General features: G+C 38.9%; 1 protein-coding gene across 14 annotated transcripts in view, besides 1 other annotated feature; it reads right to left on the bottom strand.

Moving 5' to 3' along the window:
* The window catches only part of NCOA1 (nuclear receptor coactivator 1), a 279,449-nt gene that overhangs the window by 213,706 nt on the left and 38,922 nt on the right, over positions 1–26,821 (bottom strand). For 4 of the 14 annotated variants that reach the window (XM_047446155.1, XM_047446154.1, XM_047446153.1 and 1 more), the window contains 2 exons: positions 2,424–2,608; positions 942–982 (listed from right to left, as the gene is read on the bottom strand). The exons of the other annotated variants lie outside the window; for them this stretch is intronic. The gene's annotated coding sequence lies outside the window, so the exon portion shown is untranslated. The remainder of the gene's footprint in view (positions 1–941; positions 983–2,423; positions 2,609–26,821) is intronic. 14 annotated transcript variants of the gene reach the window in all.
* Positions 6,390–6,590: a silencer, noted in NCBI's record as "peak3621 fragment used in MPRA reporter construct". NCBI's record gives its function as "represses an SCP1 promoter by STARR-seq MPRAs in K562 erythroleukemia cells {active_cell/tissue: K562}" and the evidence as "EXISTENCE:reporter gene assay evidence [ECO:0000049][PMID:32103011]".

The raw sequence follows: 26,821 nt of genomic DNA, 5'->3' as shown, positions 1-26,821 counted from the left end.
TGAATTATCTGGCCCAAAATATCAATAGTATCAAGGTTTAGGAACAATGGCCTAGAGCAAGCACTAGGTAAATAAGTAGCTAAGAGTAGAGATAAAGTGGAATCATGGAAAATGATTAATTCAATACAAGGCAAGAAAAGAAGAAAAAATTTCTGGTTCTAGGTCTTTGGGGAATCGCCACACTGTCTTCCACAATGGTTGAACTAATGCACATTCTGACCAACAGCATAAAAGTGTTCCTATTAATCCACAGTCTCACCACCATCTGTTGTTTCTTGACTTTTTAATAATAGCCATCCTGACTGGCATGAGATGGTATCTCACTGTGATTTTGATTTGCATTTCTCTAATGACCAGTGATGTTGAGCTTTTTTCCATACGTTTGTTGGCCACATAAATGTCTTCTTTTGAGAAGTGTCTGTTCATGTCCTTTGCCCACTTTTTAATGGGGTTGCCTTTTTCTTATAAATTTGACCCAGCAATGCCATTACTTGGGATATACCCAAAGGAATATAAATCATTCTACCATAAACATGCAAGCGTATGTTCACTGTAGCATTATTCACAATAGCAAAGATGTGGAATCATCCCAAATGCCCATCAATGATAGACTAAACAAAATGTGGTACATATACACCATGGAATACTATGCAGCCATGAAACAGAATGAGATCATGTCTTTTGCAGGTACATGGATGGCGCTGGAAGCCATTATCCTCAGCAACTAACGCAAGAACAGAAAACCAAACACCGCATGTTCTCACTTGTAATTGGGATCTGAACATATGAGAACACATGGACATAGGGAGGGGAATACACACTGGAGCCTGTCAGGGGGGCGGGGGAAGAGAGAGTATCAGAATAAATAGCTAATGCATGTTGGGCTTAACACCTAGGTGATGGGTTGATAGGTGCAGCAAACCACCATGGAACATGTTTACCTGTGTAACAAACCTGCAGATCTGGCACGTGTATCCTGGAACTGAAAATAAAATAAAGAGGAAAAAATAAACAAAAAAGGCCCAAAATTCAGAAGACTAGCAAGATGGTACATTTAAATCCAAACATCAATAACTAAGTAGAAATAATCTAAGCTTACTAATTAAAAGAATAAATTATGAGATCAAATGTTTAAAACAAGATCCAACTACATCCTATCTACAAGGTACCCACTTTAAATACGAAGAGAAAAGTTAAGTAAAAAGGATAGAATAGAAAGGAAAGACAGAACTGATACAATATCGACAAAACAAACCTCAGAACAAGAAATATTTCCAGTAATAAAGTGGAACACTATGTAATTACAAAGAATCAATTCATTAAGAAGACATAGCAATCCTAAATGTGTTACTATCTAACAATACAACTTCAAATTAAATGAAACAAAAACTGATAGGACTGTAAAGAGAAATAGGCAAATCCACAATTACAGTTATCGATATGAATACTCCTGTTATTAATCAATAGAACAAGAAGACAGAAAATAACTAAGATACAGAAGACCTGAAAACATTACCAACTAACTTGATCAAACTGGACATTTACAGAACACTCTACACGAGCAAAAACTATGTTCTTTTCAGGAGCACATGGAATATTCACCAACATGGACCGTATTCTGGCCCGTAAAACAAACTTTAAGATATTTAAAATACTTAAAATCAAATAATGTATTTTTTCTGGCCAAAATGGAATTAAATTAAAATTAATAACTCAAAGATAGATTAAGAATACCAAAGAGTTGGAAATTAAACAACATGTTTCTAAAATACTCCATGGGTTAAACAAAAAAGTAAGGAAAATTAGAAAATACTTTTAATTGAGTGAAAATTAAAAGAGAAAATATCAACGTTTGTGGGGAGGGCCTTTTCCTCTCGGAAGTCCCCTCTCTCTCACTAGAGAGAGAGCTGTTTTCCTTTCTTTTTCTTTCTCTTTCTCTTGCCTATTAAACCTCCGCTCCTAAACTCCTCGTGTGTGTCTGTGTCCTAAATTTTCCTGGTGTGAGATGACAAACTCCGGGTATTTACCCCAGACAACGTAGACGCTTCATATTGGGAACCTCGTCTGGGATACCAAGGTACAACATTCATCAAAACGGTAAGTAGAGAAGCGGACTCCAATCCTGTCCTTTCATTTTGGGGCTCTCAGCCTCCATTTTAGAGCCAAATCAAATCAGTAACAGGCATCCGTCAGCCAATTAAAAACACAGCATGGTTGCCATTCTTAAAGACTCGGATGTGTGACTTACTAGGGAGAACATCGAGAATCCCCCAGCACCAACATGTTGCTGGCTATGTTGGCCATGTTTGAACCAGCTTCCTTTCACGGAGGATTCAGCTGTCGTGTGAGGCTGGAAGAGGTTCTGGAGCAGGATTTCTGGCTGGGGCTACCCCCTGGTATTAGTCAAAGGTTTCTGGACTGACCTCAGCATCCAACTGCCCAAAGGGGTGTTAGCAAAAGGATCTCCAACTTTTCTATCGTAATTTCCTCCTTTCCTATCCACGATTGCCGTATCTCCTGTCCTCTTTTCCTCTCCGAAGTCCCCTCTCTCTCATTAGAGAGAGAGCTGTTTTCCTTTCTCTTTCTCTTGCCTATTAAACCTCTGCTCCTGAAAAAACAAAAAACACAACAAAAAACAAAAACAAACAAACAAAAAATCAGGGATACTACTAAAGTAGTTTTTAGAAACTTACAGCATGAAATGCTTACATTACAAAACAAGTAAGGTCTTGAATCAATAATTTAAGCCTCCACCTTAAGGAGGTAGAAAAAGGAGTAAATTAAATACAAAGCAATTTGAAGAAAAAAAATTGAAAACAAAACATAGAGGTATCTATGAAACACAAATCTAATTCTTTGAAAAGTTCAATGAAACTAAATAAATTTCTAACCAGAGTGATCAAAAAAAGAGAGAAGCCACAAATTACCTACATTGGTAATGAAAAGGAGACATCACTAGAGATTTTATAGCTATTAAAGGGATAATTAGGGAATATTCTGAACAATTTTATGGCAATAAACTCCACAACTTAGATAAAACGTACCAATTCCTTAACTCATAATTTAAAACCTTCTCAAGAAAACACTTCCATGACAAAGGCTCCCTTGGTGAATTCTACTAAACATTTAATGAAGAAATCATACCAATATTACAAAAACTCTTCCAGAAACAAGAAGAAAACGTTTCTCAATTCATTTTATGAGAATATAGTATTGACCCTAATACAAAAATCAGACCAAAACAAACTACAAGAAAACTACAGACCATCATACTTTGATGAACATAGATGGAAAATATCTTAACCAAATGAATCTAGCCAATATACTGAAAGAAATATATATCCTAGCCAAATGCCATTTATCCCAAGAATGCAATGTTGGTTCAACATATGAAAGAAAATCCATCAATGTAATACGCCACATTAACAGACTGAAAAATAAATGATCATCTTAATTAATGGGGAAAAAAACGGCATTTGTGCTGGGCAAAGTGGCTCACGCCTGTAATCCCTGCACTTTGGGAGGCCGAGTGGGCAGATCACTTGAGGTCAGCAGTTTGGGACCAGCCTGGCCAACAAGGTGAAACCCCGTCTCTACTAAAAATACAAAAATTAGCTGGGTGTAGTGGCGCACACCTGTAATCCCAGCTACTCGGGAGGCTGAGGCAGGAGAATCACTTGAACTTGGGAGGTGGAGGCTGCAGTAAGCCAAGATCGCCCACTGCACTCCAGCCTGGGCGACAGAGTGAGACCCTGCCTCAAAAAAAAAAAAAGAAGGCATTTGAAAAACTTCCACATCATTCATGATTCAAAACTCTCAGAAAACTAGAAACAGAAGAGAACATCCTCAACCTACGTATCTATAACAAATCTATAGCTAACATTATACATAATCACAAAAGATTAAACGTTGTCTCCTAAGATGACGAACGAGACATGAACGTCTGCTCTCACCACTCCTATTCAACAATGTACTGTATTGTATTACACTGTCAGTACAGTGATGCAAGAAGGAATAAAAGCCAGAAGATGGATTTTAAAAGGGGAAACAAAACTGTTTTTTTCCACAAATGACAAGACTGTCTATATAGAAAATCCCAAAGGATTAATCTACTGAATTTATCTAATAAATTTCTACTATTAAAACTACTAAATGAATTAAGCAAAATTGCAGAAGACAAGGTCAACACACAAAATTACATTGTACTTCTAGTGGTAGTAACGAATAATTAGAAATAAGTTCACAAAATAGTAGCAATTGTATAAACATTAAAAAGAGATAGAATATAACAAAATAAATGCAAGATTTTTGTGCTCAAAAATATAAAGCACAGGCCGGGAGCGGTGGGTCACGCCTTTAATCCCAGCACTTTGGGAGGCCAAGGCAGGCAGATGACGAGGTCAGGAGATCAAGGCCATCCTGGCTAACATAGTGAAACCCCGTCTCTACTAAAAATACAAAAAATTAGCTGGGTGTGGTGGCACATGCCTGTAGTCCCAGCTACTCGGGAGCTGAGGCAGGAGAATTGCTTGAACCTAGGAGGCAGACGTTGCAGTGAACTGAGATCATGCCATTGCACTCCAGCCTGGACAACAGAGCGAGACTCCATCTCAAAAAAAAAAAAAAAAAAAAAAAAAAAAAAATATATATATATATATATATATATATATATATAATATATATGAAGCACAGTGAGAAATCAAAGACCTCAATAATTGGTGATACATTATTTTCAAATATCAGATCAATCAATATTGTTAAGATGTCAATTTTCCCCCAAATTAATGTAAATCCAATTAAAATCCCAGCAGGCTTTTTAAAAAAACTGACAAGCTGATTCTAAAATTTTATGAAAATGCAAAGAAACCAGAATAGTCAAAACACTTTTCAAAAAGAAGAACAAAGTTGGAAGACTTAGATTCACTGATTTCAAGACTTTCCATAAAGCTACAGCAATTAAGACATTGTGATTCTGCCATAAGGATAAACACAAAGATAATGGAATAGAAGGGATAGTCCAGAAATAAATCTACATATTATGGTCAACTGATTTCAAACAAAAGTACCAGGGTAACTCAATAGAAAGAGAACTGTCTTGCAACAAATGGTGCAGGAACAATTGGCAGTCCATATGCCAAAACAAAAACAAAAACAAAAACAAAAGCCTCAACCCACACCTCATGTCTTACACAAAAATTAATAGACCTAAATAGAAAAAATTCAAAACTATACAACTTAGGAAAACATAGAAGAAAATCTTTGGGATTGCAGGTTAGCCCAGGGGTTGGTAAACTTATCCTGCAGAGAGCCAAACAGTCTCTGCTGAAACTACCCAACTCTGCCATTGTAGCATGAAAGCAGCCATAGACAATACATAAGCAAATGTTCACAGCTATATTCAAATAACATTTTATTTACAAAAACAAGTAGTGGGCTGAATTAGGTCGTTAGTTTGCCAACCTCTCACTGACGGAGAGTTTTTATATATGATGCTTAAAAACACAAACGATAAAAGAAAAAAAAATAACACTTTATTAAAATTTTAAACTTTTGCTGTTCAAAAGATAGTGTTATAAAAATGTAAAGACGAACCACAAATTTGGAGAAAATATTTGCAAAACAAACATCTGATGAAGGACTTGTTTTCAGGACATAAAGAACTCTTCAACACAATAATTAAAAAAATTCAATAAAAATAATGGGCAGAATATTTGGACAATGCAAAAATGACAACTCTTAACAAGCAGTCTAGAGACATGGTACATATGTTTAACCTTTCCTACTGGTCTTTATGCTATCTGAAACAGAACCAATCTTGCCTGGATAGAGCATCCAGTGTTCTGCCTTACAAAAAAAGACAACCACAAATGAAAACTATCAGAGCTTTTTTTTTTTTTTTTTTGAGACAAAGTCTTCCTCTGTCACCCAGGCTGGAGTGCAGTGGCACAATCTCAGCTCACTGCAACCTCCGCCTCCCAGGTTCAAGCGATTCTCCTTCCTCAGCCTCCCAAGTAGCTGAGATTACATGCCTAGCTAATTTTTGTATTTTTAGTAAAGATGGGGTTTCACCTTGGTGGCCAGGCTGGTCTCAAACTCCTGACCTCAAGTGATCCACCCGCCTTGGCCTCCCAAAGTGCTGGGATTTCAGGCATGAACCACTGCACCCAGCCTATCAGAGCATTTTTAAAGTTAGGTAATACAAATACTTGGTACAAAAAGGAAACTGTACAAAACAAGTGATGGTGAACAGGAATTTCCCTCCAATCATCCAGCTCCCTTCCCTTGTTTACTAGGCATTCATAGATATTCTATGCACATAAAAGCAAACAAAAACAACAGTGGCATATCTGATATGGTTTGGCTGTGTCCCCACCCAAATCTCATCTTGAATTCCCATGTGCTGTTAAAAGGACCTGAAGGGAGGTAACTGAATCATAGGGGCAGGTCTTTTCCCATACTGTTCTCATGGTAGTGAATAAATCTCTCGAGATCTGATGGTTTCATAAGGGGGAGTTTCCCAGCACTAGCTCTCTCTCAACCTGCTGCCATCCATGTAAGATGTGACTCACTCCTCCTCCCCTTCTGCCATAATTGTGAGGTCTCCCCAGCCACGTGGAAATGTAAGTCCATTAAACCTCTTTCTTTTGTAAATTGCCCTGTCTTGGGTATGTCTTTATCAGCAGCATGAAAATAGACTAATATGGTAAGTTGGTTCTGGGAGTCGGGGGTGCTGCTGAAAAGATACCTAAAAATATGGAAGCAGCTTTGGAACTGGGTAACAGGCAGAGGCTGGAATGGTTTGAAGTGCTCAGAAGAAGAGAGGAAAATGTGGGAAAGTTTCAAACTTTGTAGAGACTTGTTGTATGGCTTTGACCAAAATGCTGATAATGATAAGGACAATGAAATCCAGGCTGAGGTGGTCTCAAATGGAGAGGAGGAAGTTGTTTGCTATAACTTGTTTTAGCAAAAAGATTGGTGGCATGTTGCCCCTGCCCTGGAGGTTTGTGGAAATTTGAACTTCAGAGAGATGATTTAGGGTATCTGGCGGATGAAATTTCTAAGCAATAAAACATTCAAGAGGTGACTTGGGTGCTGTTAAAGGCATTCAATTTTAAAAAGGAAATAGAGGCTGGGTGCGGTGGCTCATGCCTGTAATCCCAGCACTCTGGGAGGCCGAGGTGGGTGGATCACAAGGTCAGGAGATCGAGACCATCCTGGTTAACACGGTGAAACCCTGTCTCTACTAAAAATACAAAAACAAAATTAGCTGGGCGCAGTGGTGGGCACCTGTAGTCCCAGCTACTCAGCAGGCTGAGGCAGGAGAATGGCGTAAACGCGGGAGGTGGAGCTTGCAGTGAGCCCAGATTGCGCCACTGCACTCCAGCCTGGGTGACAGAGTGAGACTCTGTCTTAAAAGAAAAGGGAAATAGAGCATAAAAATATGGAAAAATTGCAGCCTGACAATGTGATAGAGAAGAAAATCCTATTTTCTGAGGAGAATTCAAACTGGCTGCAAAAATCTGCACAAGTAATGAAGAGCCGAATGTTAATCACCAAGACATGGGGAAAATGTCTCCAGAGCATGTCAGAGACCTTTGTGGCAGCCCCTCCCATCACAAGCCCAGATGTTTAGGAGGAAAAAATGGTTTTGCGGGCCAGGCCCAGGGTCCCTCTGCTATATGCAGTCTAGGGACTTAGTGCCCTGTGTGCCAGCCACTCCAGCCATGACTAAAAGGGGCCAAGGTACAACTCAGGCTGTTGTTTCAGAGGGTGCAAGCCCCAAGCCTTAGCAGCTTACACATGGTGTTGAGCCTGTGAGTGCACAGAAGTCAAGAACTGGGGTTTGGGAACCTCTGCCTAGATTTCAGAAGATGTATGGAAACACCTGGATGCCCAAAGAGAAGTTTGTTGCAGGGGCGGGGCTCTCATAGAGAACCTCTGTTAGGGCAGTGCAGAAGGGAAATGTGGGGGTCAGAGCCCCCACACACAGTCCCTACTGGGGCACCATCTAGTGATGCTGTGAGAAGAGGGCCACCATCCTCCAGACCGCAGAATGGTAGATCCACCAACAGCTTGCACCATGCACCTGGAAAAGTTGCAGGCACTCAACGCCAGCCCATGAAAGCAGCCATGAGGAAGGCTGTACCCTGCAAAGCCACAGGGGCAGAGCTGCCCAAAACCTTGGGAACCCACCCCTCGCAACAGCTTGTCCTGGATGTGAGACATGGAGTCAAAGGAGATCATTTTGAAGCTTTAAGATTTGACTGCCCTGCTGGATTTTGGACTTGGTTGGGACCTGTAGCCCCTTTGTTTTGGCCAATTTCTCCCATTTGGAATGGCTGTATTTACCCAATGCCTGTACCCCCAAGTATCTAACTTGCTTTTGATTTTACAGGCTCATAGGCGGAAGGGACTTGCCTTGTCTTGGATGAGACTTTGGACTGTGGACTTTTGAGTTAATGCTGAAATGAGCTAAGACTTGGGGGACTGTTGGGAAGGCATAATTGGTTTTGAAATGTGAGGATGCAAGATTTGGAGGGGCCAGGGATGGAATGATATGGTTTGACTGTGTCCCCACCCAAATCTCATCTTGAATTCCCACGTTGTGGGAAAGACCTGGTAGGAGGTAATTGAATCACAGGAGCAGGTCTTTTCCCATGCTGTTCTCGTGGTAGTGAATAAATCTCACAACATCTGATGCTTTTGTAAGGGGGAGTTTTCCTGCACATGCCCTCTTTCTTTGCCTTCTGCCATCCATGTAAGACGTGACTTGCTCCTCCCCTTCCACCATGATTGTGAGGCTTCCCCAGTCATGTCGAACTGTAGGTCCATTAAACCTCTCTCTTTTGTAAATTGCCCAGACTTAGGTGTGTCTTTATCAGCAGTAAGAAAACAGAGTAATACAATACTATACAGTTTCATATCTTTTTTTAACATAGTGTATCTTAGCACTCATTTCATAGCATTCCTTATAGAATTCCCTCATCCTTTTTTTTTTTTTTTTTTTTGAGACAGAGTCTCACTCTGTTGCCCAGGCTGGAGTTCAGTGGTGCGATCTCGGCTCACTGCAAGCTCCGTCTCCCAGGTTCACGCCATTCTCCTGCCTCAGTCTCCCGAGTAGCTGAGACTACGGGTGCCCGCCACCAGGCTTGGCTAATTTTTTTGTATTTTTAGTAGAGACAGGGTTTCACCACGTTAGTCAGCATGGTCTTGATCTCCTGAGCTCATGATCCGCCCACCTCGGCCTCCTAAAGTGTTGGGATTACAGGCATGAGCCATTGCACCTGGCTCCCTCATCCTTTTTTTTAACAATCTCATGATATATGAATACATCACAATTTAATCAGCCCCTCACTGATTATGCATTTGCAATATTTTGCCATACAATGCTGTATCTCTGTACTCATGAAGCAGAATTACTGAGTCAAAGAGTATCTGCATTTTAAATTATGATAGTCTTTGCTAAACTGTGCTCTACATAGTTTATCAGGGTTTAAAAAAATATGGACACGTCAGTAAGCCCTCCAGTTCAGGGAAAACTAAGATGAAAGAGTAAATTCTCATAATATAGCTGCAATTACTAAGCAAAGATGTTTTGGAAGATTTGCAACTAAATAAACCAAGATACTTATTAAATTTATAGTGAATGACAAGACGAATATATAGTGAATGACACAAAAAAGAGGTTTATCCAGGCCTCCCATTATCCCAAAATCTCTTCTATTAAATTAAGGTCAATAATTTTAATTTGAGATTTATAACCTAATTTCTAAGAGGACTTAAATTATTACATGTTAAAATACAAGATAAAGAGGATTAATCATAAAATCATGTAAATAAATTAAAAGATTAGATACTGTAATAGATGGTATAGCCACAAACTAATCTTCCAAACTTGGCCGCCATTGATTATTTCCTTTCCAATGTGCACATGTCATTCCACCTATCAAGAGATGAGGCTTTATTTCCCAGTCCCTTGAATCCTGGCTGGCCTTGTGACTTGCTCTGACCAGCAGGAAGAATGTGGTCAAAGTGACATTCTGAAACTGCAGGAACCCAGAAGACTGGTAGCTTCCCCTTACTCCCTCTTCTTGGAAGTCAGAAGCCATGTGAGAAATCCAACTACTCTGACACCACAATGCTGAGGAGATGCCATGTGGAGGCATACAAAAGTGTCAGACATGTGAAGAAAGCCTGAGACTGTCCAGCCCACACCAGTTACCAGCTGAGTAAGTGATCCCAACCGATGCCACACAGAGCAGAAGAATCCCCTATCTGAGCCCTGCTCAAACTCCTGATCCCCAGAATTGTAAAAATTATAAATCACTGCTGTAGACAATTGAAAAAGATACTATCAAGCTCGTGATATCAGCAAATTACAAACACCAAGTGTCAAATTTGGGTCCATGTTTTCCAGGTTATAAGTTTTCATTTTTCAGTAAGAAGAAAAAGAAAACATGTAATTTTTCTATCTTAATTAGATGCACTTGTACAAAGAACAATGAACCTAGGACTATAGTTTCAAATATAATTTTAGAAAATTTTAGAAAATGCACATCATTCAAATGATGTTTCTTACAGATTGATTCTATACAGACAAATAACATATTAAATCAGAACTCAGCACAGGCATTTTCATGTCAGAGGAGACTAAGATGATGTGGTCTTGATACTTTTGTTCTCTAAAGACTTAATACAAGAAACTACATGAATGCATAATTAAGATATTCATTAGTCTGTCTTGTATCTGATGTGGATTTTTTGCATTAAGTGAGCTTTTTTTTTTTTTTAAGAGATGGGATCTTGCTCCGTAGCCCAGGCTAGAGTACAGCAGTACAATCATAGCTTCAGTGAACTTTTGATAGACACTAAATAGCTGTCAGTTTGTGATTAAATCCAATAAAAACAGGCTGGGTGTGGTGGCTCATGCCTGTAATCACAGCACTTTGGGAGGCCAAAGCAGGTGGATCACCTGAGGTCAGGAGTTCAAGACCAGCCTGGCCAACATGGTGAAACCCCATCTCTACTAAAATACAAAAATTAGATGAGTGTAGTGGCATGCACTTGTAATCCCACCTACTCAGAAGGCTGAGGCAGGATTGCTTGAACCTGGGAGGCAGAGGTTGCAGTGAGCCGAGATCGTGCCACTGCACTCCAACCTGGGCAAGAGAGCGAGACTCCGACTCAAAAAAATAAGTAAATAAATCTAATAAAAACACAGAATAAATATTCTATAAGGCTGGTTAAATTTAGAGCCACATACGTAAAGAGTACAAGTATCTACCTCTCCCCACAAACTGTTCCCTCTGAGATCACCAACATTCTTTAATGCTATATCCTATGTAAATACCTTGGTCCTTGACTTATCTGATCTCAAACAGAATCTATACAAATAACCATTCCTCTCAGTCACCAAGTGCAGCCCATACTCAAGGGGGTGGTAGGAGGTGGGGGGTTAAGTTCCACTTCCTTGAGGAGGGGAGTGTCTGCACAAATTATTTGGAATTCTGTACAAGATAAATAAGTGGGGACAGTTATTTATTTAACCATTTATTTTAATCAGTGTGGACTTAGGGATATTTATTTTATGCTTTGGGTCATAATCCAATAATGCAATATTATTTATTTTATTGCTCAAATTGTTCCAGCTTCAGTCACTGGGTGCTCTTTCAGTTGGCTCCTGTATCCCTTTACCAACCCCCTGTCCTTTTGCATTTTGCATATTTTCTTATTTTCTGGCACTCTACAATGTTCCAGGCTCATCTTGCAAATTCCCTGCCCCGGCCCAAGAATCAGCCATTTTCCAGGGAGCCTTAGTTCTTTCTATTGGAGAGTGGTATTAGAAACCAAGATCTGATGCTGGGTGTGCTCATGCTACTGGGTTGTCACTGCTCCTAGGCCCTCTCAGCAGACAGAGCTAGTAAATAAATGTATGTATACTAGGCTATGTATACATACATATCTGTATTTATTTCTGAATCTGTATCAATATTAAGGTAAATGTGTGTTCAATGCTTATGTTTCAAACTCTAATTCAGTACCACATGGTTCATTCTAGCCTTCTTCCTGCCTGTGGTTACCTCACTCTCCAAAAATGAGAAAACTAGTTCCCATGATTCACCATTCATTTACTTATTTTTTTAATCCCAATATACATGTGCAATGTTTTTTGAATTGTTAGCTCACACTCTACTGAATTTCTGTCCTACCTTTTTCTTTTGAAAGTCTTATTAACAGAATCTTCTTTTATTTTTTCTTGAGACAGGGTCTCATTCTGTCACCCAGGGAGGAGTGCAGCAGCACAATCATGGCTCACTGTGGCCTCAACTTCCTGAGCTCAGGTGCTCCTCCCACCCCAGCTGCCCTAGCTGGGACTACAGTGCATACTGCCATGCCCAGCAAATTTTTTGTATTTTTTGTAGAAATGAGGTTTTGCTATGTTGCCCAGGCTGGTCTCAAACTCCTGAACTCAAGCAATCCACCACCTTGGCCTTCCAAAGTGCTGGGGTTACAGGCATGAGCCACCGCACCCAGCCAGAATCCTCATTTTAGAAGCACGTGTTCCTAAGATCCTTGACCTGGATCACCTCTTCCATCTCCGCACATTTTACTTGAGTTATCTTTCATATCCACAACTTTACTTTCCAAATGCTGATACTTTCCAAATCAGTATCTCCAACCCAAATCTCTCTCCTAAACTTCAAACCCACTTATCCAACTACCAGTTGGATCTCAAGTTAGGTGTCTCATAGGCATCTCAAACTGAACTCAACCATCCTTCCCTAATCTTCTCCTCCAGGGTTTATCTACTGAATGACACCATCATCATCATCTACCTATCTGCATAAGCCAGAAATTTAAGACTAGGTTGGTCCTCTTCTCTCTACTCTCCCTAGTAACTAACCACCAAAGCCTAAATCTTTCTCAAATACATCTCCATCCTTATGATCCTCCTACTGTAGCCAATCTAACATTACCTCCCACCTAGAAAAATTTCTTGTTAGAACAAATGAATACACAAGACAGCTTCTTAATTGATCTCCCTACCTTTAATTTTACCTGGCTCTAATCCATTCACACTACAATCTGAGTAATTTTTCTAAAAAACAAACCAGATCATATCACTTTTCATTATTAAAATATTTCAATAGATTCCCATTCCTCTCAGGATAAAGCCCAACTGCCCTAACATTGCTTTCAGGGCTGTGTGATATAATACCTAGTGACCTCTTTCCTGTCATCCTTCTCTCACTTTATGCCCTCTGCAATCAACTAATCTGAAATCTTCTCAATTTCTCTCTCCTGTCTTCTTGTCTCAATTCAGATGTTCCTTCTTTAGAAAGCCATCTCTGCCTTCCCTGTTCATCTAGGTTAAGTGCTCCTGTTCTACGCTCACATTCAATTATGTGGTCCATCCACTGTAGCAACCATCACACTACATTGTAGTATCTGTTTATTTTGTATCCCTTGCTAGACTAGAAACTCAATCTGAGCAAAAAAATCACATTATCTCTGCTACGATTTGATTTGTCCCCTCCAAAACTCATCTTAAAACTTGATCCCCTAGGTGGCAGTGTTGGGAGGCAGGGCCTGGTGGAAGGTGTTTGGGTCATGGGGGCAGATCCCTCACAAATAGATTTAATTCTCTTCTGTGGGAGTGAGTTTTCTCAGGACTGGATTAGTTACTGCAAGAGTAGATTGTTATAAAAGCAGGTTGTTATAAAAGGAAGTTTGGCTTCCTAGAATTCTCTTGCTTCCACTCTCACGATGTGATCTCTTTGTACATGCCCACTCCCTTTTCTGCTTTTCCACTGTGTTTTGACCCAGCACCTGGTCCTCACCATAAGCCCCTAGATGGAGCACTAAGCTCCTGAACTTCCCAGCCTGCAGAATCATGAGCCCAGTAAACTTTTATGAATTACCAGTCTCAGGTATATTCTGTTATAGCAATACAAAACAGAATAAGACAACCCTGTTTGTCATTGTATCCTCAGAGACTAGCTCTCTGCCCAGCACAACAAATGCTTAAATACTTTTGAGTTTCCATTTTTGTTATTTCTGTGGCTTAGACTTAGTGACGATTTTACAAGTAATCAAAATAAAATCCCCTTGTAAGGTACAAAGTTTAATATTAATCTGTTAAATCAAGTTTACTAATTATATTATTCTAAAGAGTATTCTCTTGGATATATTCTTCAGAAAAAGTAAAAAGTTAGTATAATTTCTGAAACCTTGTCTGTCTGGAAATCTCTCTTTAGCCTTTGTATGTCAATGACAGTGTAGCAAGGTATAAAATTGAGGTTACATCATCTTCTCCTCTTACGAACTTGCAGAGAGACCAACATCACCTACAACAGTAGTTCCCAAACTCCAAGCCCAAAACCAATGCTATTTGGCGATAAAGTTTTCACTAGTCCTCAGTACAATCAAAAACAGTGACAGTATTATTTAACCTAAAGCAAAAATTATTGTTATATTTTATATCCTTGTTTAGCCAAAAAAAAGTGTATAATTTATGCCAGTCATCCAAATTTTCTACTAGAATCGTATAGTCTATTAATTCAAAGATCTTAAATTCTCTGATCCAGCATTTTTCATTAAATAGAAGACTGGATTCCAACCTGATTGTCTTCCCTTTGAAAATCATTTGGTTCCCCCCTTTGAATATTTGTAGAATTTTCCCTCTTATCCTTGAACATCAGAAATGTGACTAGCACATTCACTAATCAGGTTAGTTCTTTTAAAAGTTAAAGTCTTCAATTTAGCTACATTTTCAACACTTTCTGTATTGTTTGACTACTTATGCATCATCTCTGTTCTTTTAGAACACCCAATTTATATATACCAAATTTCTTGCATCTATCTACTCTATTACCTTCTTGGTCATGATCTCCATGTCTATCTTCCCATAACTCTGGAACATCAATTGAACTAGTCTTTTAACTCACTAGTATTATTTCCTGGAGTATCCAATCTACTTTTCATTATTATTAATTTTAGTTCAATATTAATGATTTTGTTTTCCAAAATCTTTTTCCTGTTCTCAGAGTGCCTTCTTGTTCATAATAATCCCCTCTTAAATCTCACTGCACTGAGTCTATGAATTTAAATTTTTAAAGTCTGATGCAGTGTCATAACTATTTCACAGGCAGCCATCTGCTATGAAAACTCAAATTATATCTTCTTTAGAACTTCTGAGTCTTATTCCTATGAATTTTCTGTTGGCTCACACTACAAGAGGGATGGCCATGTTCTTCCAGAATCTGAAGCTGAGAAAGGCTCTCTCAAGGATTATTTAGATCAGTGTTAAAATCTTTTTCAGATAATTTCCCCTTTATGTCAAAAAATCTTTTTCAGATAATTTCCCCTTTATGTCAACTTTGGAAATCAAAAACCAACTGGGGCCACAACCTCTCCTAGCCTCCATAGTAGCCTTAATCCAGCCAATGCACTGGCTCTGTGTGTCAGTTAGGATTAGGTTCCATTGCACATGACAAATACCAGTAGTCTGTATAAAAGAGAGTTTTATTTTTCTCTCACATAACAGATCTGGAGGAAGGTAGTTCAGCTGTTCCTGTTTTGGTCATCTCTTAGTTATCAAATCACTACTCAGTCCTTTCTTATCCTTTGGTAATCTGGCACTGCTGACCACTCCATTACTTCTCTGGTTTCCATGACATGATTCTTGGTTCACCTCTCACTCTTTCAACCATTCTTCTCTCCCTTGCCTGCAGGCTCCCCTTCTTCAACGTAGCTCTCAAACAGTAGTGGTCATTTTGTCTCACAGTATATTCATTCTTCCTGAGCAACTTCACCCATGAACTGCCATTATCAACTACCATTATCACTTATACATGACTTCCCAATTGTCCTCAACCCCAGACATTTGAGTTCCAAATCCATATATCCACTAGCCTAACAGACTATAACACTTTTTCGTGTGGTTGTCTCACAAGCATCTCAATCTCAGCATGCCCAAGTGAGATAGTAGTATCTTTCACTCTCATCCCCAAAATGCTTTTACTGTTGCATTTGCTACCATGGTTTCTGGCAATACCATCTCTCCACTCAACCAATCAAGAAACCTAAGAATAGTCTAGAATCCCCCTTCTGTCTCATTCCCACACATATGTCTTCTTAATTCTACATATTTAACATCTCTTTTGTTTGTCTCCTTATGCTGCTATCTAAGTTCAGGATCTCATTATATCACTGGATCATCAAAAAGGGCCAGTTCTGGCCAGGTGCGGTGGCTCACACCTGTAATCCCAGCACTTCGGGAGGCTGAGGCAGGCGGATCACTTGAGGTCAGGAGTTCGAGACCAGCCTGGCCAACATGGTGAAACCTCGTCTCTACTAAAAATATAAAAATTAGCCAGGTGTGGTGGCACGCGCCTGTAATCCCAGCTACTGGGGAGGCTGAGGCAGGAGAATCACTTGAACCTGGGAGGCAGAGGTTGCAGTGAGCCAAGATCGCACCACTGCACTCCAGCCTGGGTGACAAAAGCGAAACTCCGTCTCAAAAAAAAAAAAAAAGCCAGTTCTCCCAGCTATCAATCATGCACAGTTCTAATCCATCCATCTTGGCACCAAAAAGACTGTTCCATTTCAACAACTATATTTTTCATTCCCCAGATCTCTAATTGACTCTTTTAAATAAATGCCTACTCTTGTTTTATAGCCACTTGTTTTTGTTAAGGATATAATAAATTCCCTATCTGTCTAAAAGTATTAGGTACACATTTTAGAACTCTGTTCTAGTAACTTTTTATTTGATCCTAAGTTCTTTTTTGTTGATTCTTTTTTATAGTGTTGGCTTTCCTGAAACATTTAAGAGATTCTTATCTTTGTACTTGGGATTCTGTTACACTCTGTAGGCTTTTGGTACAGCTCACTCAGGAGCAGTACTTATCTCATATTGCTTTCAGTGGGAGAGAAGGAGAAGCAGAACACGTCACAGACAGGGTTCTCAGTCCTTCGTCTTCTAGACATGAATATAGCCAGTTACCCCCAACTGCTTCCTACTCTCATAGACTCAGGGCTCCTACATGCAGTTCTCACATGGAAACAGATCCTTTACTTTGCTCAAGTTGGTGTTAGAATACATAGATGTTGAAGCTGCTTGGTTGCTCATGTTGCAGTAATGCTAATGAATTACCCTATTGATTATTCTGGGACCCTTCCTAGCCTCTTACCTATGGTATGAGTGTTACCCACAGGACCTCCTATTTATGTTCAGAAATTCTTCACAGTTTTTGATTTATGGAGAGTTCCTCTTCTTGTGTCTATACATGGCCACATTCAAATTTTTCTATTACTTCTATAGGTTTGGTGAAGGAATACAAAAAGGTAGTGAAGGTTCAGTCTGCCTTTGTGAAACTGGCCAGAATAAGTATTCTGAAATGCAAATCACATCATGAATCTGTCCCTTGCCCAGCTTAAAACTCTTCATGGCTTCTGATTTCCTATAGACAGACTCTAAATGCCTTAGTATATGCAAAGCCCTCTATGATCTAATTGATGACTTCCTACACCTGCTCTTTCCCCACGCAATATCCCTCATGAAGCAGCCACACCTAAGTATTCAGTAATTATGGGAGGCCATACACAACATGCTTTTTCAGGCCTTCATATCTTTGCATTCATCATTCCTTTTGTCTCTAATGCTTCCTTCCCCAACCCTGACTCTTTTTATTATAGTATTCTAGGCATTGTACAAAACCCACTTTCAGAGGCCAGGCATGGTGGCCCATGCCTGTAATCCCAGCACTTTGGGAGGCCAAAATGGGAGAATCACTTGAGGCCAGGAGTTCAAGACCAGCTTCATCAATTTTGTGAGACCCCCATCTCTTAAATGGGGGGGAAAAAACTCACCTTCAAATGGGTAAGAAGGAATGCATATTAAGTTATTAATAGTGGTTGTTTTCTTGATTTTTGCTTATCTGTACTTCCTAACTTTTACACGTTAAGAACATACAGTATTTTATTAGGGGGACAGGTCTTTGAATTTTAACGCTCTGCTTAGAGGTCCTGTCCTCTGTAAACTCTTACTTGACTAGTCAAAAGAAGATTCACTTCCTCTTTGTATCACTACGCTGTCATGTTACATCCCTTTTTAACTACACTATATCACATTTTTTTTCTTCCCCTACTAGACTGTAATCTCCTTGAGGACAGAGTCTGTTTTCTTCATCTTTCTCTCCCCAGAACCTAAAAGAATCTGAAGTCTCGTACATGACAAATAAATGCTGGATAAACATCAATGAAATCAGAGCAACTGGGAAGGGGCAGTTTTAAGCTCATATGAACTGGTCTTGGAAAGTCACTTAACTTTTCCTTCAAGAAAAAATAGAATAAAAGTATATACAGACATTTAGAGGTGGTGAGGAAGTCTACGCAGTCATAGACTTTTTAAGCTGGAAAAGATTTTAAGAGAACATCGCATCCAAGCTCTCAAGTTACAGATTAAAGAATTACATCCCAAACAAGTAATTGACCTGCTCAAACTCAGAGCTTCTGGCAGAATATGGATTTGCATCCAGATCTTCTGATTCCCGTTACAAAAGTTCATTCAATTTCAATGACTTACTCTATTGCTTTTCCAGTCTTTCGAGGTTTTGGAAAGGATAATACCATCTTAATAGTTAAAAATTACTCGAAAATAAAAGTTCTCCTAACATGCACTATTGCCTCAATTTTAGTCTATGAGCATTCTGCCAAGACTTGCTTTTGAATATGACTGTTCTTTGAGGCAGCTACTAGTGCCCAAACCAGGGATGGAAAGGTAAAAAGTATTCATTTCAGGCCATAAACCTGCTTTTATATCAAGTGACCAAATAACATACACATATATAACACTTGCTATTTTAATAGATATAGTCTGTAATTTCATCAGATACACTAAAAACAAACATTTAAAAAGCTATCTCTTAAGAAAAATAAAATAAAAAGTCATTTCTTAACACTGAAGCAAGATAAATTTCTTAACTTCCATAAGTGTGGGATTACCAGGAAGGAAAAGTATTTGTCAGTTTGTTTTTGCTATGGATTGTCCCCTTCTTAGACACAAAAAGTTAGCAGATACAGAATTGCAATCAAAACAGAATTTCCACTATGTTAGTTTTCTTTTTTTAACAAGTTTTATTGTATATATTTGAGATTTACAGCATAACATTATGAGATATATATAGATAGATAGAAACATGATTGCTACAGTGAAGCAGATAATAACTTATTACCTCACATACTTTTTGTGACAAAAGCATCTAAAATCTACTTATTTAACAAAAACCCCTAACATAATACAACTTTATTAACTTTGATCTTTGCGTTGTTCATCAGATATCTAAACTTGTTCATCCTATACATCAGCTATTTTGTATCCTTTGACCTACATATCCCCATTTCCTCACCTTTCTCCCCAACATCCCACCTGTGGTAACCAGTTTCATTCTCTATCTCTGTGCATTTTATATATATACAGAGAGAGAGAGAGAGACACACACACACACACATACATATATTATATATATATACACACACAAATATATTATGTATATATACACACACACACATATATATATAATCTCCCACATATAAGTGAGATCATACAATATTTTTCCATGTCTGACTTACTTCACTTAGCATAATGTCTTCCAGGTCCATCCGTTGTGGCAAATGGCAGGATCTTCTTTTTCAAGGCTTATATAATTTTCGTGTTTGTGTGTCTGTGTGTGTGTGTGTGTGTGTGTGTGTGTATGTATCACAGTTACCTTATTGATTTGTCCATAAGTGGACACCTAGGTTGTTTCTGTATCTTGACTATTGTGACTAATGCTACAATGAACATGGGAGTCCAGATATCTTTTTTTTTCCAGTAGCTTTTGGGGTACAGGTGGTTTGGGGTTACATGGACGAATTGTATAGTAGTGAAGTCTGAGATTTCAGTGCACTCATCACCTAAGTAGCATACGTTATACCCAATATGTAGTTTTTTTTACCCTTTGCCCCCTCTCCCAACCTCCCCTTTCTGAGTCTCTACAGTCCATTATATCTCTCTGTATGCCTCTGTGTACCCATAGCTTAGCTCCTACTTATAAGTGAGAACATGTGGTATTTGGTTTTCCATGCTTCAGTTACTTCACTCAGAAAATGGCCTCCAGCAAGTATCAGGCAGTAGTATTTGCTGTTCTGCAGTATCTGCTGTTCTGCAGCCTCCACTGGTGAGACCCACACAAACAGGGTCTGGAGTGGACCTCCAGCAAACTCCAACAGACCTGCAGCTGAGGGACCTGAGTGTTAGAAGGAAAACTAACAAACAGAAAGGAATAGCATCAACATCAACAAAAAGGACATCCACACCGAAACCCCATCTGTAAGTCATCAACATTAAAGACCAAAGGTAGATAAAACCACAAAGATGGGGAGAAACCAGAGCAGAAAAGCTGGTTTCTAAAAACCAGAGCGACTCTTCTTCTCCAAAGAATTGCAGCTTCTTGCCAGGAACGGAACAGAGCTGGATGGAGAATGACTTTGATGAGATGACAGAAGTAGGCTTCAGAAAGTCAGTAATAACAAACTTCTCCGAGCTAAAGGAGCATGTTCTAACCCATTGCAAGGAAGCTAAAAACCTTGAAAAAAGGTTAGGCGAATGGCTAACTAGAATAAACAGTGTAGAGAAGACCTTAAATTACCTGATGGAGCTGAAAACCACGGCACGAGAACTTTGTGACGCATGCAGAAGCTTCAATAACCGATTCAATCAAGTGGAAAAAAGGATATCAGTGATTGAAGATCAAATTAATGAAATAAAGCGAGAAGACAAGGTTACAGAAAAAAGAGTAAAAATAAACAAACAGAGCCTCCAAGAAATATGGGACTATGTGAGAAGACCAAATCTATGTTTGATTGGTATACCTGAAAGTGATGCGGACAATGGAACCAAGTTGGAAAATGCTCTTTAGAATATTATCCAGGAGAATGTCCCCAACCTAGCAAGGCAGGCCAACATTCAAATTCGGAAGTACACAGAACACCATAAAGATACTCCTCGAGAAGAGCAACCCCAAAGACACATAATTGTTGGATTCACCAAGGTTGAAATGAAGGAAAAAGTGTTAAGGGCAGTCAAAGAGAAAGGTCGGGCTACCCACAAAGGGAAGCCCATCAGACTAACAGCGGATCTCTTGTCAGAAACCTTACAAGCCAGTAGAGCACGGGGGCTAATATTCAACATTCTTAAAGAAAAGAATTTTCAACCCAGAATTTCATATCCAGCCAAACTAAGCTTCATAAGTGAAGGAAAAATAAAATTCTTTCCAGACAAGCAAATGCTGAGAGATTCTGTCACCACCAGGCCTGCCTTACAAGAGCTCCTGAAGGAAGCACTAAACATGGAAAGGAACAACCAGTACCAGCCACTGCAAAAACATGCCAAATTATAAAGACCAGCAATGCTATGAAGAAACTGCATGAATTAACGGGCAAAATAACCAGCTAACATCATAATGACAGGATCAAATTCACACATAATAATATTAACCTTAAATGCAAATGGGCTAAATGCCCCAATTAAAAGACACAGACTGGCAAACTGGATAAAGAGTCAGGACCCATCAGTGTGCTGTATTCAGGAGACCCACTCACGTGCAGAGACACACATAGGCTCAAAATAAAGGGATGGAGGAAGATCTACCAAGCAAATGGAAAGCAAAAAAAAAGCAGGGGTTGCAATCCTAGTCTCTGATAAAACAGACTTTAAACCAACAAAGATCAAAAGAGACAAAGAAGGCCATTACATAATGGTAAAGGGATCAATTCAACAAGAAAAGCTAACTATCCTAAATATATATGCACCCAATACAGGAGCACCCAGATACATAAAGCAAGTCCTCAGAGACCCACAAAGAGACTTAGACTCCCACATAATAATAATGGGAGACTTTAACACCCCACTGTCAATATTAGACAGATCAATAAGACAGAAGGTTAACAAGGATATCCAGGTCTTGAACGCAGCTTTGCACCAAGCAGAACTAATAGACATCTACAGAACTCTCCACCCCAAATCAACAGAATATACATTCTTCTCAGTACCACATCCCACTTATTCTAAAATTGACCACATAATTGGAAGTAAAGCACTCCTCAGCAAATGTAAAAGAACAGAAATCACAACAAACTGTCTCTCAGACCACAGTGCAATCAAATTAGAACTCAGGATTAAGAAACTCATTCAAAACTGCACAACTACATGGAAACTGAAAAAACTGCTCCTGAATGACTACTGGGTAAATAACGAAATGAAGGCAGAAATAAAGATGTTCTTCAAAACCAATGAGAACGAAGACACAACTACCAGAATCTCTGGGACACATTTAAAGCAAAGTGTAGAGGGAAATTTATAGCACTAAATGCCCACAAGAGAAAGCAGGAAAGATCTAAAATTGACACCCTAACATTACAATTAAAAGAACTAGAGAAGCAAGAGCAAACAAATTCAAAAGCTAGCAGAAGACAAGAAATAACTAAGATCAGAGCAGAACTGAAGGAGATAGAGACACAAAAAACCCTTAAAAAAAAAAAATCAATGAATCCAGGAGCTGGTTTTCTGAAAAGATCAACAAAATTGATAGTCCTCTAGCAAGACTAATAAAGAAGAAAAGAGAGAAGAATCAAATAGATGCAATAAAAAATGATAGAGGGGATTATCACCACCGATCCCACAGAAATACAAACTACCATCAGAGAATACTATAAACACCTCTACACAAATAAACTAGAAAATCTAGAAGAAATGGATAAATTCCTGGACACATACACCTTCCCAAGACTAAACCAGGAAGAAGTTGAATCTCTGAATAGACCAATAACAGGCTCTGAAATTGAGGCAATAATTAATAGCCTACCAACCAAAAAAAAGTCCAGGACCAGACGGATTCACAGCTGAATTCTACCAGAGGTACAAAGAGGAGCTGGTATCATTCCTTCTGAAACTATTCCAATCAACAGAAAAAGAGGGAATCCTCCCTAACTCATTTTATGAGGCCAGCATCATCCTGATACCAAAGCCTGGCAGAGACACAACAAAAAAGAGAATTTTAGACCAATATCCCTGATGAACAACGATGTGAAAATCCTCAATAAAATACTGGCAAACTGAATCCAACAGCACATCAAAAAGCTTATCCACCACAATCAAATTGGCTTCATCCCCAGGATGCAAGGCTCGTTCAACATACGCAAATGATAAACATAATCCATCACATAAACAGAACCAATGACAAAAACCACATTATCTCAATAGATGCAGAAAAGGCCTTCAACAAAATTCAACAGCCCTTCATGCTAAAAACTCTCAATAAACTAGGTATTGATGGAACATATCTCAAAATAATAAGAGCTATTTATGAGAAACCCACAGCCAATATCATACTGAATGGGCAAAAACTGGAAGCATTCCCTTTGAAAACCGGCACAAGACAGAGATGCCCTCTCTCACCATTCCTATTCTACATAGTGTTGGAAGTTCTGGCCAGGGCAATCAGACAAGAGAAAGAAATAAAGAGTATTCAATTAGGAAAAGAGAAAGTCAAATTGTCTCTATTCTCAGATGACATGATTGGATATTTAGAAAACCGCATCGTCTCAGCCCAAAATCTCCTTAAGCTAATAAGCAACTTCAGCAGTCTCAGGATACAAAATCAATGTGCAAAAATCATGAGCATTCCTATATACCAATAACAGACAGAGAGCCAAATCATGAGTGAACTCCCACTCACAATTGCTACAAAGAGAATAAAATACCTAGGAATCCAACTTACAAGGGATGTGAAGGACCTCTTCAAGGACAACTACAAACCACTGCTCAATGAAATAAAAGAGGACACAAACAAATGGGAGAACATTCCATGCTCATGGATAGGAAGAATCAATATCGTGAAAATGGCCATACTGCCTAAGGTAATTTATGGATTCAATGCCATCCCCATCAAGCTACCAATGACTTTCTTCACAGAATTGGAAAAAACTACTTTGAAGTTCATATGGAACCAAAAAAGAGCCCACAATGCCAAGACAATCCTAAGCCAAAAGAACAAAGCTGGAGGCATCATGCTACCTGACTTCAACTATACTACAAGGCTACAGTAACCAAAACAGCATGGTAATGGTACCTAAACAGATATACAGACCAATGGAACAGAACAGAGGCCTCAGAAATAACACCACACATCTACAACCATCTGATCTTTGACAAACCTGATGAAAACAAGCAATGGGGAAAGGATTCCCTATTTAATAAATGGTGCTGGGAAAGCTGGTTAGCCATATGTAGAAAGCTGAAACTGGATCCCTTCCTTATACCTTATACAAAAATTACTTCAAGATGGATTAAAGATTTAAATGTTAGACCTAAAACCATAAAAACCCTAGAAGAAAACCTAGGCAATACCATTCAGGACATAGGCATGGGCAAGGACTTCATGTCTAAAACACCAAAAGCAATGGCAACAAAAGCCAAAATTGACAAACAGGATCTAATTAAACTAAAGAGCTTCTGCATGACAAAAGAAACTACCATCAGAGTAAACAGGCAACCTACAGAATGGAAGAAAATTTTTGCAATATACCCATCTGACAAAGGGCTAATATCCAGAATCTACAAAGAATTTAAACAAGTTTACAAGAAAAAAACAACTCCATCAAAAAATGGGCAAAGGATATGAACAGACACTTCTCAAAAGAAGACATTTATGTAGCCACAGACACATGAAAAAATGCTCATCATCACTGGTCATCAGAGAAATGCAAATCAAAACCACAGTGAGATACCATCTCACACCAGTTAGAATGGCGATCATCAAAAAGTCAGGAAACAACAGATGCTGGAGAGGATGTGGAGAAATAGGAACACATTTACACTGTTGGTGGGAGTGTAAATCAGTTCAACCATTGTGTAAAACAGTGTAGCAATTCCTCAAGGATCTAGAACTAGAAATACCATTTGACCCAGCAATCCCATTACTGGGTATATACCCAAAGGATTATAAATCATGCTACTATAAAGACACATGCACACGTATGTTTACTGCAGCATTATTCACAATAGCAAAGACTTGGAACCAACCCGAATGTCCATCAATGATAGACTGGATTAAGAAAATGTGGCACACATACACCATGGAATACTATGCAGTCATAAAAAAGGATGAGTTCACGTCCTTTGCAGGGACATGGATGAAGGTGTAAACCATCATTCTCAGCAAACTATCACATGGGCAGAAAACCAAACACCGTATGTTCTCATTCACAGGTGGGAACTGAACAATGAGAACACTTGGACACAGGGCAGGACACATCACACACCGGGGCCTATCAGGGGGCGGGAGGCTGGTGGAGGGATGGCATTAGGATAAATACCTAATGTAAATGATGAGTTGATAGGTGCAGCAAACCAACATGGCACATGTATACCTATGTAACAAACCTGCACAGGTACACATGTGCACATGTACCCTACAACTTAAATAATAAAAAAGAAAAAGAAAATGGCCTCCAGCTCCACCCAAGTTGCTGCAAAATAGATTATTTTTTTTCTTTTTATGGCTGAGTAGTATTCCATGGTGTATATGCCACATTTTCTTTACCCACGCATTGGCTGATGGGCAATTTGGTTGGTTTCATATCTCTCCAATTGTGAATTGTGTGGGAGTGCAAATATCTTTACAAGGTGGTGATTTCATCTCCTTTGCACATATAACCATAAGGGGGATTGCTGGGTCGTGTGGTAATTCTATTTTTAATTTCTTTAGGAACCTCCATACTGTTTTACATAATGGCTGCACTAATCTACATTCCTACCAACAGTGTACAAAGGTTCCCTTTTCTCCACACCCTTACCAACACTTATTATCTCTTGCATTTTTAATAACAGCTAACCTAATGGGTGTGGGGTGGTACCTCATTCACTATGGTTTTCAACTAAGCCAGTCCACCACAGCCACTCTAGGTAATCTTGCACTTTAACACTCAGAATGCTATAAGAGCATTTTTTATTGTGAGGCTATAATACTGCTGATATGGAGCTATAAAGAAGTCTGATATATAAGAAATCTCCATAAGACTTTGGCCACATAGTAATCAACCCCCTTTAAAAGGTATCTTCAATTCTAAATATTCATAAATATATTTTCATCTCCTCACTCTTCCCCTTCAAGACATTTCTCAGTCTTTCTCTTCTCTACCAGCACTGAAGAGATTTGCAAAGGTCTTATACACCTAAGTCTAAGTGTTATGTGGACTCTGGGCTTTGCCATTTTAAAGTACTAAACAAAATAAAAAGAAAATGCAAATGAAGTGGGCATGAGGCAGACTGGCTAGAATGCCACTGCATATTGTTTATTATGTTTAATTTGCATATAGATGATGAACTGGTGGGAAGTAGCTATGTGGAAACAACAGGTAAATTAAGAATACTTGTCCTCGGCAGAAAAAAGAATACAAAAGTTACCTGAAAGACAAGATGATCAAAAGCCAAAAATCTGAAACACAGACCCAGAACCATATTACTGCAAAAGTGTGTAAGAAATAGGTTTTTCCACTCATCAGATTTGTCTTTACTTCCTCAAAATAAAATACCTGTGATTAGCTAAAAGTTCCATAGTATTAGTCACAAGAAAGATTCTCACTAAAACATTCCAACGTAAATAAATGGGAAGGCAAATTTAACTATTAAACCAGTGATTCTTCTCTAGCTCTTAACAGTGAACAGAGTGATCATTTTTTGCTTAAATCCACACTGTATTGAATATCTTTTGTCCAA

Source organism: Homo sapiens, chromosome 2 (genome assembly GCF_000001405.40).
Source record: "Homo sapiens chromosome 2, GRCh38.p14 Primary Assembly".
NCBI classification, from domain to species: Eukaryota; Metazoa; Chordata; class Mammalia; order Primates; family Hominidae; genus Homo; species Homo sapiens.
This window is presented reverse-complemented; position numbering and strand designations above follow the sequence as displayed.